The sequence below is a fragment of the Homo sapiens genome, chromosome 12, assembly GCF_000001405.40.
Source record: "Homo sapiens chromosome 12, GRCh38.p14 Primary Assembly".
NCBI classification, from domain to species: Eukaryota; Metazoa; Chordata; class Mammalia; order Primates; family Hominidae; genus Homo; species Homo sapiens.
This window is the reverse complement of record NC_000012.12, coordinates 111,698,104-111,710,391: the sequence shown is the minus strand read 5'-3', so window position 1 is coordinate 111,710,391 and position 12,288 is coordinate 111,698,104. Positions and strand designations below refer to the sequence as shown.

Genomic DNA, 12,288 nt, shown 5'->3' with positions numbered 1-12,288 from the left:
TAGAAGCCAGGCATGGTGGCTCACACCTGTAATCTCACCACTTTGGGAGGGTAAGGTGGGTAGATCGCTTGAGCCCAGGAGTTCGACACCAGCTTGGGCAACACGGCAAAACCCTGTCTCTACAAAAAATACAAAAATTAGTCGGGTGTGGTGGTGTATGCCTCTGGTCAGCTACTCAGGAGACTGAGGTAGGAGGATCACTTAAGCCCAGGAGGTTGAGGCTACAGTGAGCTATGATTGCACCACTGCACTCCAGCCTGGGTGACATAACAAGACCCTGTATGAGAAAAAAAAAAAAAAAGAATAGAAAAAAGTTGGCATGAGACCCCCTCACATGGCTTCTCGTGCTTTACAGCAGTGAGCTGCATGGCCTGCATGGCTGGTGGCCACTGGCTCCCCACTTAAGGCAGCATCACTGGATCATGAGGACAGTGTGAACACCCCCACAAAGGTCTTAAGCCTGCCATTCACCTCCTTTCCCATCTCTTTTCTCAACCTGCCTTCGCAGTACCTGTTTGTCTTGCTTCCCATTGAAAATACAAGCAGCTAGTCACATAGATTTCATAATTAACACAAAATAAGATGACTATGGAAACACAGGGGGAAACCCTAAGGAAAGCTAGAGCTACAAATGTAAAAAGATTACAGAGAAACATTGCATTAGTGGCTGGTGCATGGGAGGGAGTTCAAAAATTAGTGACTATTACCTTAATGGTGTGAATACCAAGTCTGGCAGCTTCTTTTAGATTTGTTCCAAGGTCATCAAGAAAGATGGACTCAGAGGGCTGCAGGCCGAGCTGCTCCAAGCACAGCTTGTAGATCCTAGGGTCTGGCTTACAGATCCCTTCCATGCAGGACTCCACAATCTGATGGAGGGACAGGAATGAGAGATGAATGTCCCGAAAGGTGGAGCTCCCACATGCATGCTGGTAAACTTTTTGAGAGGAAAAGCATAAGAAGGACAGTTGAGATTTATTATAACAAGTAATTTAAGAGTGTTATGATATAAAATGATGTTGCCTTCTTACATTGAGTAATTTGACAATACTGGGTTACAACGTGGGGGCAAACTCGAGAAACCAAAGTGTCTGTTTCAGACACTGTGACCCTGTGCAAACGAGCAAAGCCATAATGGGCCTCAGTGCCATCATCAATAAAATGGGAATAATATTAATAGTCATCGTACCTATCTTAGCTCAGTAAGTTGTGAAACTTAAATGAAACTTAAGTGGGTTCCAAAATGACAAAGCATTTGGCTAATGTCACATCTTGGGGCTAAACAGAGCAGAAGAAAAGCTGTACATGTCAGTTTGACGGAAAGCATTTCGCCATTTTTTTTTTTTTTTGCAGAAAGAAGACACTATTACAGGTATAAAATAAATACGAACTTAGTGTTTATTTCAGAGGTTAAAAACCCATCCATACTCCATTTAGACAGAAATTCCATGGGAGGGCTGACACTGTTCCTGACATGCTAAGAGGCTCCTGTACTCTGACGACCTTGCTTCAGCCACATATCTGATCCGTAATGGGTGGAGGGTGCTGGTGAGAGTTCAGGAGAACACGGGAAAGCCTTCTCAGTGTCAGGCTGTCTCTGATCCACTGATTCCCCGAAAGTCCTTTTACAGTGTCCCCAGGGCGTAATCTCCTATAGAGTGGGCCCAATCTCCTATAGCCACATAGCCTATAACCAATACCCTCTGATCTGCCCTAAGAACAGAACTAAATCTCTGACTTGCCACTTGGAATGACCCAAGCTCTCCAAGGCCAAGGACAAACCCAGTGGCCCCTCTCTCTACCCTACACTTGCATTCTGGGTTGGGTGAGAACTGCCCTTTCAGGTAAATAAATGTCTGGAATAAACTGGACCTTTCTACTTTCTCTTGTCTCCTAAGGACCTGAATGAGCTAAAAAAAAAAAGTCTAAGAGGCTACCCTAAAGAAAACGTCAATAGTGAGAAGTACAGAAGCAGGGTGTTTCAGACACCAGTCGATGTAACGTACCAGATGGAAGTGGCAGAGCTGTACTGGCTGAGACAAGAGCTAGGAGAGTGGAGGGAATTGGGGGGGATGGGGCAAAGTTCCAGGAAGCATTCGGCTCCTCTCACTAGGTGAATTACATCTGGGGGAAGTAAAATAAATTCTTAAGATTTATTTGATAAGATCTCTAGCCTTCTCTTTCTTATTTTGCACATGATGGCATGAACTTATTCAGGGCTTCTATTACTTTCTTGGCAAAGCAGGAACTGTGGGAACAAGGTCAGTGTTTTTCCAAATGTAGATCAGATAAAAATGATTTTATTTATCAAGGCTCTATCCCAGGAAGATGGAGGGGAAGCCTCCTTCTCAAGGTAAGCATGACAGAGGCTGTCTGATAAGAGAAAAGCATGGACAGAATCTGAAGTCCCTCACTGCGTCTTGGGGTATCTCACCCCAGCTGCAAGGCAGAATCACCTGTGGAGCTTTTTCGAAATACACATGCCTGGATCCCAACTAGACATACTCAATGAAAGCCTCCAGGGAAACAGACCCAGCATCTTTACAAACTCCCAGGTCATGTGATGTGTAGGCAGAGTTGAAAATCTTTAATCTCACTGGCCCAACGAAGGGTACAAATACACCCAGGCATAGGCAGATGTAGGGCTAAGGTAATATGCCACTTCCTGGAGTCCAGCAAAAGTAGCTCTTCCAAAGATGGAAAGAATCAGAAAGGGGCTCTGGTAGCAAAATGTCCAATACTTGAGTTATCAGAGAAATTTAATCTGATGTGTTCTAGAGGCTACCATGACTCTCACTATATTTCATGAGCTGTTCCCTTTTGCACTGACTCAGAATATCCTTGGAGGAATGGGCCAGGGGAAGGGTCCTTCTGATCCATCACAACTCTAAAAGGTGCTGGAAGATCAACTGCCAATCTGGGCTTTGGAGTTTCTAAAGGGAATTATCACTGCTGTTGGTTATAAGACAAAAACAAACATTTTTAAAGTATCCAAATAGGGCCAGGCACAGTGGCTCATGCCTGTAATCTCAGCACTTTGGGAGGCTGAGGTGGGTTGGTCACTTGAGGTCTGAAGTTTGAGACCACCCTGGCCAACAGGGTGAAACCCAGTCTCTAATATTCATAAAAAACACAAAAACTAGCCAGGCGTGGTGGCATGCACCTGTAGTCTCAGCTACTAGGAGGCTGAGGCACGAGAATTGCTTGAGCCCAGGAGGTGGAGGATGCAATGAGCTGAGATTGCGCCACTGAACTCCAACCTGGGCGACAGAGAGAGACCTTCTCTCAAGGAAAAAAAAAGAGAGTACCCAAATAGGGGCCAGGCACGATGGCTCATGCCTGTAATCCCAGCACTTTGGGAGGCTGAGGTGGGCAGATCACTTGAGGTCAGGAGTTCGAGACTAGCCTGGCCAACATGGTGAAACCCTGTCTCTACTAAAAATTCAGGGGTGGTGGTGCCAGGGGTGGTGGTGCATGCCTGTAATCACAGCTACTCAGGAGGCTGAGGCAGGAGAACTGCTTGAGCCTGGAAGGTGGAGGCTGCAGTGAGCCGAGATGGTGCCACTGTACTTTAGCCTGGGCAACAGAGTGAGATGGTCTCAAAAAAAAAAATATATATATATATATATATAAAAAAATAAATAGGCCAGGCACGGTGGCTCATACTTGTAATCCCAGCACTTTGAGAGGCTGAGGTGGGTGGATCACTTGAGGTTGGGAGTTCGAGACCAGCCTGGCCAACATGGTGAAACCCCCGTCTCTACTAAAAATATAAAAATTAGCCAGGCATGGTGGCACACATCTGTAATTCCAGCTACTCAGGAGGCTGAGGCATGAGAATCACTTGAACCTGGGAAGCAGAGGTTGCAGTGAGCTGAGATTGTGCCACTGCACTCCAGCCTGGGTTACAGAGCGAGACTCCATCTCAAAATAAAAAAATAAAAATAAATAAATAGGTAAAGTACCCAAATATAGCCAAGCATGTCAAAACGATAGGTTTATCACATGACAGGTTGGGATACACACATGGAGCAGATGGATTTAGTATGGAAGTAAATCAGGCCGAGGAAGGCAGTAAAATTTTATTGGACAGCACTGGTCTAGGAACTAACGTCACAGAAATAGAAGGCAACATAGTTGGTCTTAGAAAAGGCCAAAGGATCCATTACGATATGAGGGCTGACAGAGATGCTTGTGTTATATGAAGACTAAGGTTCGAATTTAGAATGTAAAGCTGAAGTGTCAACCAGTAATCAAATGCCATAAATGTCTGACCTTGCTAAGAACACAGTGATATCTTAAAGGGTCTGTTTTCAACATATTGCATTTAAACCTAACTTAGTCAAGTGGCTGAAGGAAAAACTCCCTCACTCAAGACCTGCTGGAAGATAGCATTTAACATTGCACCCTGAAGCGAGGGCACAGATTCTGTTCCAATGGTTTTCAATTAGCTCAAGCTTACCACATCAAACTGTTTCCGGTCCAGGGGCAAAAAGCTTTTCTGGTTGGGAAGATAAAAATTATTGCTCAAGACTGCAGTCTGAAGACCTTTTGCCCGAATTTGAGTTATGGCCTCAGTCATCACTGGGAACTGCTTTGCCACTCGCTCACTGGTCAACAGAGAGAAAAATGAGTCCACAGGCACGGAGGTCTTTAACTAAGAACAGGAGAGGGCACAGGAGAACAGCAATCATTAAGAGTGACAAACACTCATGGCCAACAGAAAAAAAAAATGCTTATTCCTGGCGTCCTTCTGCTCTCTGCTACAAGAGCCCAGGCTCATAGCTTGCTGCCTGCAGGAACTGTGTTCCTCAGCCCCTGTGCTGAACTCTCATATAAGGTTTTTAAAAGTTATCCAGGACTAGAGTTATAGGCTGGGCACAGTGGCTCACACCTGTAATCCCAGCACTGTGGGAGGCTGAGGTGGGAAGACTGCTTGAGCTCAGGATTTTGACACCAGCCTGGGCAACAAAGTGAGATCTAAAAAAAATTTTTTTTTAACTTAGCTAGGCTTGGTGGCACATACCTGTGGTCCCAGCTACTCAGGAGGCTGAGGTGGGAGGATGGCTTGAGCCTGGGAGATTGGAGCTGCAGTGAGCTATGATCAAGCCATTGCACTCTAGCCTGAGCAACACAGTAGGGAATGGAGCTATTTATATCAATATTACAATTAAATGAGTTCTTTATTCTGCTCATGGATTGCTAGTTGAAAAAAAAAACAGCATATCATAAGAGGATACAGTGAAATCTAAAAGTATATGAAGTATATGTAATTTAATTTTTAATGATTGAGAAGTCATTTAATGCTTTTTATATTGCCTCAGTATCACCATTATGAACTTTAGTTTCTGATCAATTTTTTTCTTGTTTTTAAATTCAATCTGTGTGGGTTTTGAAAACTCTTATAAGGCTGGGCGCAGTGGCTCACACCTGTAATCCCAGCACTTTGGGAGGCTGAGGCAGGCAGATCACGAGGTCAGGAGATCGAGACCATCCTGGCTAACATGGTGAAACCCCTTATCTACTAAAAATGCAAAAAATTAGCCAGGCGTGGTGGCACGCACCTGTAGTCCCAGCTACTGGGGAGGCTGAGGCAGGAGAATTGCTTGAACCCAGGAGACGGAGGTTGCAGTGAGCCAAGATCATGCCACTGCACTCCAGCCTGGGCAACAGAGCAAGACTCCGTCTCAAAAAAAAAAAAAAAAAGAAAGAAAGAAAGAAAGAAAGAAAACTCTTATATTATCACATTTCAAAATCTGCAAAGGCAAGTCTGCTGTTTTATATATACATATACACACACAGATTTTAGAACAGCTTTACTGAACTCTAATTCACATGCCATGCAAGTCACCTATTTAAAGAGTACAATTCAATGGTTTTTAATATATTTACAAAGTTGTGCAACCATCACTGCCATCAATTTTAGGACATTTTCATTACTCTAAAGAGCAAACCAGCCAGGCGTGGTGGCTCACGCCTGTAATCCCAGCACTTTGGGAGGCCAAGGTGGGCGGATCACAAGGTCAAGAGATCGAGACCATCCTGGCCAACATGGTGAAACCCCGTCTCTACTAAAAATACAAAAATTGGCTGGAGCTGGTGGCACACGCCTGTAGTCCCAGCTACTCGGGAGGCTGAGGCAGGAGAATCGCTTGAACCCGGGAGGCAGAGGTTGCAGTGAGCCGAGATTGCTCCACTGCACTCCAGCCTGGGCAACAGAGTGAGACTGTGTCTCAAAAAAAAAATTAAAAAAAAAAAAAGTAAACCGTACCCATTAACAGTCACTCCTCATTTCCCCCAAAGTCTCCTTGTACTAGAAAACCACCAATCTACTTTCTATCTCTATGGGTTTGCCTATTCTGGACATTTCACACAGATGGAATCATACACCATGCAGTCTTTTTTGACTGGCTTCTTTCACTTTGCATAATGTTTTCAAAGTTTACTATTACATATACACATATATGTTTATATATATATATATATATAAATTGTGGAAAATATATGTAACACAAAATTTACCATTTTAACCTTTTTTTGTTTTTGTTTTTGAGATGGAGTCTCACTCTGTCACCCAGGCTGGAGTGCAGTGGTGTGATCTTGATCCTGGCTCACTGTAACCTCTGCCCCCCAGATTCAAGCAATTCTCCTGCCTCAGCCTCCCAAGTAGCTGGGATTACAGATGCCCACCACCACGCCTGGCTAAATTTTGTATTTTTAGTAGAGATGGGGTTTCACCATGTTGGCCGGGCTTGTCTTGAACTCCTGACCTCAGGTGATCCGCCCTCCTTGGCCTCCCAAAATGCTGGGATTACAGGTGTGAGCCACTGCACTCGACCATTTTTAAGTACACAGTGCAGTGGCATTAAGTACAGTCGTGTTGTCGTGCAACCATCACCATCATCACCATCTACCTACAGAACTTTTCTTACTATATTTTAAATTATATTTTAGTAGAGCTATTGTGGTTACATGAGTTATATAAAGAGCTTAGAACAGTGCACAGTACAGAAAAAATGTTCAATATTATTATTGCTTTAAAAAAGCTTTTTTATCAAAGCCATTATGTAGACAGCTCCTGTTTTAGTATCTATTAGAGGGGAGCTTTCAGGTTGCTGAATGCATGGAGGTGCTGGGAGGAGGGTGGCAGGCCTGGAAAGGGCACAGTGGCTCTAAAACCTTTGCCCCCAGGTATCTTGTCATCTGGCTGTTCATTCGTATCCTTCATAACATCCTTTATAATACACCAGAAAACATTAAAAAAATATATGCTGGAGGAACTTAGTAAAGAATTTTTTTTTTTTTTTTTTTGAGACAGAGTCTTGTTACGTTGCCCAAGCTGGAGTGCAGTGGCACGGTCATGGTTCACTGAAGTTTCAATCCCTAGGGCTCAAGCCTCAGCCTCCTGAATAGCTGGGACCACAGGTGTGCACCACCATGCCTGGCTAATTTTTTTGATTTTTAGTAGAGACAAGGTCTGGCTATGTTGCCTAAGCTGGTCTCAAACTCCAGAGTTCAAACACTTCTCCTGTCTCAGCCTCCCAAAGTGCTGAAGTTACAGGTGTTAGCCACCACGCCTGGCTAAGAATATTTTTAGTTATTCATATATGAATTGAACATTGAACACCTAGGGGTGAAAGAAATAACTTTATTATTATTTTTTTTGAGACAGTTTCGCTCTTGTTGCTCAAGTTGGAGTGCAATGGCATGATCTCAGCTCACTGCAACCTCCACCCCTGAGGTTCAAGCAATTCTCCTGCCTCAGCCTCCCAAATAGCTGGGATTACAGATGTGCGCCACCACAGCCAGCTAATTTTTTGTATTTTTAGTAGAAACGGGGTTTCACCATGTTAGCCAGGCTGGTCTCGAACTCCTGACCTCAGGTGATCCACCCCCTGGGCCTCCCAAAGTGCTGGGATTATAGGCATGAGCCACTGCGCCTGGCCTAAGAAATAACTTTAAAACATGTAATGGGTTATTAGGTTTCACTTTATTTTCAGTTTAACTAACTTATACATGAATGTTGCAACCACTACTCAAGGCAAAAAGAAAAATATGGAAATGTAGGTATGTTTACCACTCACCATTTCAGAGCAAAGTCTCCCAAATTCTCGTAAAAAACCCTCTGCTGTTATTTCTGCTCTCATAAATCTCATCCAGGGCCCATTTTCACCACCTTCCATCAAGGCCTTTAATATAGTTCCAGAAGGGATACGATTCTGTACCTCCCATTCTATAGGAAGCAAAATATGCAAAAGTGGAATACATTGATACATGCTGGGGTTTAGGGAGCTCAGGAAAATTACCATACCAGTTCCTACGGACTCGCTGTACTGCCAGGGTGGATGCTGTTGGAAATTTGCAGACATTCACAAAATGCAAAATCTCAACCTTAGACCCCCAGAGGAAGAGCAATGCTAATGTGTACAACAGAGAGCACACTGCTGTGAAGCATCAGATCCTCAGTGGTTGCTTGAGAGGACTCCGGGCACTGCATGATGAATTTTATTCCTTGATCTCATATTCACTGGACCATATGTTAGGTCACTTACCTGGACCTGGCAGAGACTATGGAAGCACATGAAGGAAGAAGCCAGATCCTGGTGGCCCCTAGAACATGCCCTTCCTTCTATAGGCTATAGTAATTCTTCACAGCATGGAGTGAGTACACTGAAATGTTCGCCTGAAATGCTGTCTTTGTGGATAAGGAAGCAAATTTCTTCTTTTTTTCAGAAAAAGCCTCACTCAGTCACCCAGGCTAGAGTGCAGTGGTACAATCTCAGCTCATTGCAACCTCCACCTCACAGGTACAACTGATTCTCGTGCCTCAGCCCCCCAGGTAGCTGAGATTATAGGCGTGCACCACCAAGCCTGGCTAATTTCTGTATTTTCAGTAGAGACAGGGTTTTGCCATGTTGGCCACGCTGATCTCAAACTCCTGACCTCAGGTGATCTGCCTGCCTGCCTCGGGCCTCCCAAGGTACTGTGTGTGATTACAGGTGTGAGCCACTGTGCCTGGCCAAGAAGGAAATTTCTGTCCACAAAGAGCTAAGGCAGTGGATGGATCAGCATCAGCATCTGTAGAATACTGGGAACATTTGTGCAAGGACTGTTTCTCCTCATCCACAGTTGCTTTTTCTGTCTATAATACAGATGCTGGGGGCAAATATATACATACAACATTCATAATTATATATCTAAGACAAAATACACTTTACATATAGCTTTTGTTTTGGAATTAAAACACCTTTGTTGTTTTTTTCTGATAAAGTAGTGTCTGTGCATTGAAAATTTTTCAGACAATATATTTCATAGAAAACTATGCAAAAGAAAGTAGGCTGGGTGCAGTAGCTCACACCTATAATCCCGGCACTTTGGGAGGCCAAAATGGGAGGATCGCTTGAGGCTAGGAGTCTGATACCAGCCTGGGCCACATGATTAAACCCTGTCTCTAGAAAAAATTTAAAAATTAGCTTGGCGTGATGGGTTGCACCTGTAATTCTAGCTACTCGGGAAACTGAGGTGGAAGGATCGCTTAAGCCCAGGAGTTTGAGGCTGCAATGAGCTATGATGGTGCCACCGCACTGCAGCCTAGGGACATAGAGCAAGACCCCATGTCTTAAAAAAAAAAAAAAAAAAAAAAAAAGAAGAGGAAGGAAGGAAGGAAGGAAAGTAAAAGGACAAGCAGTCCTATCTTCTTTCAGAAATAACTAATGTTAACAATCTGGTATATGTCCTTTGAAAATAACAAGACTTTTAAAACTCAATCCAAAAAATACTTTAATTTTAGAGCTAAAGCATATAGCATTTTTCACAGTCTCGGAGTTGGCAAGCATGTGAGGAAACCGGCACCATCATATGCTGTTGACGGGAGCGTAAACAAGCACAACCTCTGCAGACAGCAATTTGATAATTTCTGTCAAAATCTGAAATGCACATACATTTGACGTAGTAATTCTACTTTCAGAAATTTCTTCCATATATATTTATGAAAGTAAGCAAAGGTTATGTACAAGGTTGTTTGTGCAGAATTGCTCATAATAAAAAGAACTAGAAAAGTTAAATGTATACTAATAAGGTGTTTATTACATCAATTATGATATATTCATATAACGGAATACCACACAGATGTTAAAACATATAAACTTGCCCAAAGGTCAGCAAAATATGGCTTGGGGCCAAATCTGTCTCCTATCTATTTTTTTAAGAGATGGGGTCTTGCTGTGTTGCCCAGGCTGGCCTCAAACTCCTGGGCTCAAATGAACCTTCACCTCAGCCTCCCTAGTAGCTGGAACTACAGGCACACACCAGCATGCCTGGCTCTACCTATTTTCGTAAATAAAGTCTTATTGGAACACAACCACACTTGTTTACTATTGTCTATTATTGCTTTCTTGCTGCAATGGTAGAAGTGAATAGTTGTGACTGAGAGTATGGCTCACAAAGCCTATCTAGCCCTTCTTTATTTTTGTTTTTTAAGATGGGGTCTTGCTGTTGCCCAGGCTGGGGAGCTGTGGCACAGTCATGGCCCACTGCAGCCTCAAGCTCCCAGGATCAAGTGATCCTTCTGCCTTAGCCTCCTGAGTAGCTGGGATTACAGGTGCGTGCTACCATGCCCAGCTAATTTTTTTATTTTTTGTAGAAATGGGGATCTCACTATGTTGCCCAGGCTAGTCTCAAACTCCTGGCCTCAAACAGTCTCCCACCTCGGCCTCCCAAAGTGCTGGGATCGTAGCCATAAGCCATCACATCCACCATGTCTAGCCCTTTATAGAAAAAGTTTACTAACCTCCAAACTAGATCCTAGACATATGCCAACTGATATGAAAAAGATGGCAAAATATCATACTGAGTCAAAAAAAAGCTATGGAACAGTCTACAGCATATGATCCAATTTGTATATGCCCCCCACACCCACCCCCAACACACACGGGCAATTTTTCAAAAATAAACAAGAAACTTTTCACAATGATAACCACTTAAGTCTGGAACCAACTGGGAAAGGGTCGAGGTGGCAGCAGGAAATTTTATCTGTATTTTATGCTCTTTTAGCAGTGACTATTCAATAAATGGGGTTGGCATAACTAGGTTTCAATATGGAATAGAAATTAAGTTAAATCATCTTTCAGGCCATCACAAAACAAATTCCCAATACAGTAAATATCCAAGTCAGAAAAACAAAATTCTAAAACTTAGAAAATAATATAGAAGGCTGGGCGTGGTGACTCATGGCTAAAATCCCAGCACTTTGGGAGGCAGAGGCAGAGGTGGGCAGATTGTTTATGCTCCCAAGTTCAAGGCCAGCCTGGGCAACATGGTGAAAACCCATCTCTACAAAAAATACAAAAATTAGCCAGGTGTGGTGGTGCGAGCCTATAGTGCAGCTACCTGTGAGGCTGAGGTGGGAGGATAGCTTGAGCCTGGGAGGCAGAGGTTGCAGTGAGCCGAGGTCACTCCACTGCACTTTAGCCTGAGTGGCAGAGTAAAATTCCGTTTCAAAAAGAAAGGAAGAAAAAGAAAACTTTGGTACAGCTAAAAGCATTATCAATAAAATCAAAAGACAAGGCATAAAAGGGAGAAAATATTTGCAAATCATGTAACAGATAAACGGTTATGACCGGCCGGGCGCAGTGGCTCATGCCTGTAATCCCAGCATTTTGGGAGGCCAAGGCGGGCAATCACCTAAGGTAGGGAGTTCGAGAGCAGCCTGACCAACGTGGAGAAACTCCGTCTCTACTAAAAATACAAAATTAGCCAGGGGTGGTGGTGCATGCCTGTAATCCCAGCTACTCAGGAGGCTGAGGCAGGAGAATCGCTTGAACCTGGGAGGCAGAAGTTGTGGTGAGCCAAGATTGCACCATTACATTCCAGCTTGGGCAACAAGAGCAAAAGTCTGTCTCAAAAAAAAAAAGGTTTACTGAAAATCAACAAGAAAAGTGAGCAATTCACGGAAAAACTGAATGACCAATAATATTAAAAAAAAAAAAAAAGGCTCACTACTCAGGAGGCGGGAGAATCACTTTAGACTAGGAGTTCGAGACCAGCCTGACAGCCTGGGCCATACAGCAAGATGCTCTCTGAAAAAAAAAAAAAAAAAGGCCAGATGCAGTGGCTTGTGCCTATAATCCCAGCACTTTGGAACCCTGAGGCAGGCAAGTCACTTCAGGTCAGGAGTTCAAGACCAGCCTGGCCAACATGGTGAAACCCCATCTCTACTAAAAACATATAAAAAATTAGCTAGGTGTGGTGGTGCACACCTGTAGTCCCAGCTACTCGAGAGGCTGAGGAAGG

The 12,288-nt window shown here is 43.7% G+C and overlaps 1 protein-coding gene across 2 annotated transcripts in view; it reads right to left on the bottom strand.

The window, feature by feature from the left end:
• The window catches only part of ACAD10 (acyl-CoA dehydrogenase family member 10), a 71,047-nt gene that overhangs the window by 46,708 nt on the left and 12,051 nt on the right, over positions 1-12,288 (bottom strand). The window contains exons 3-6 of one of the 2 annotated variants that reach the window (NM_001136538.2): positions 8,082-8,230; positions 4,460-4,654; positions 708-866; positions 27-119 (exon numbers count right to left, since the gene is read on the bottom strand). In NM_001136538.2, coding sequence (NP_001130010.1) covers positions 27-119; positions 708-866; positions 4,460-4,654; positions 8,082-8,230 — 596 coding nt within the window. The remainder of the gene's footprint in view (positions 1-26; positions 120-707; positions 867-4,459; positions 4,655-8,081; positions 8,231-12,288) is intronic. The other variant, NM_025247.6, reaches the window with a different exon arrangement.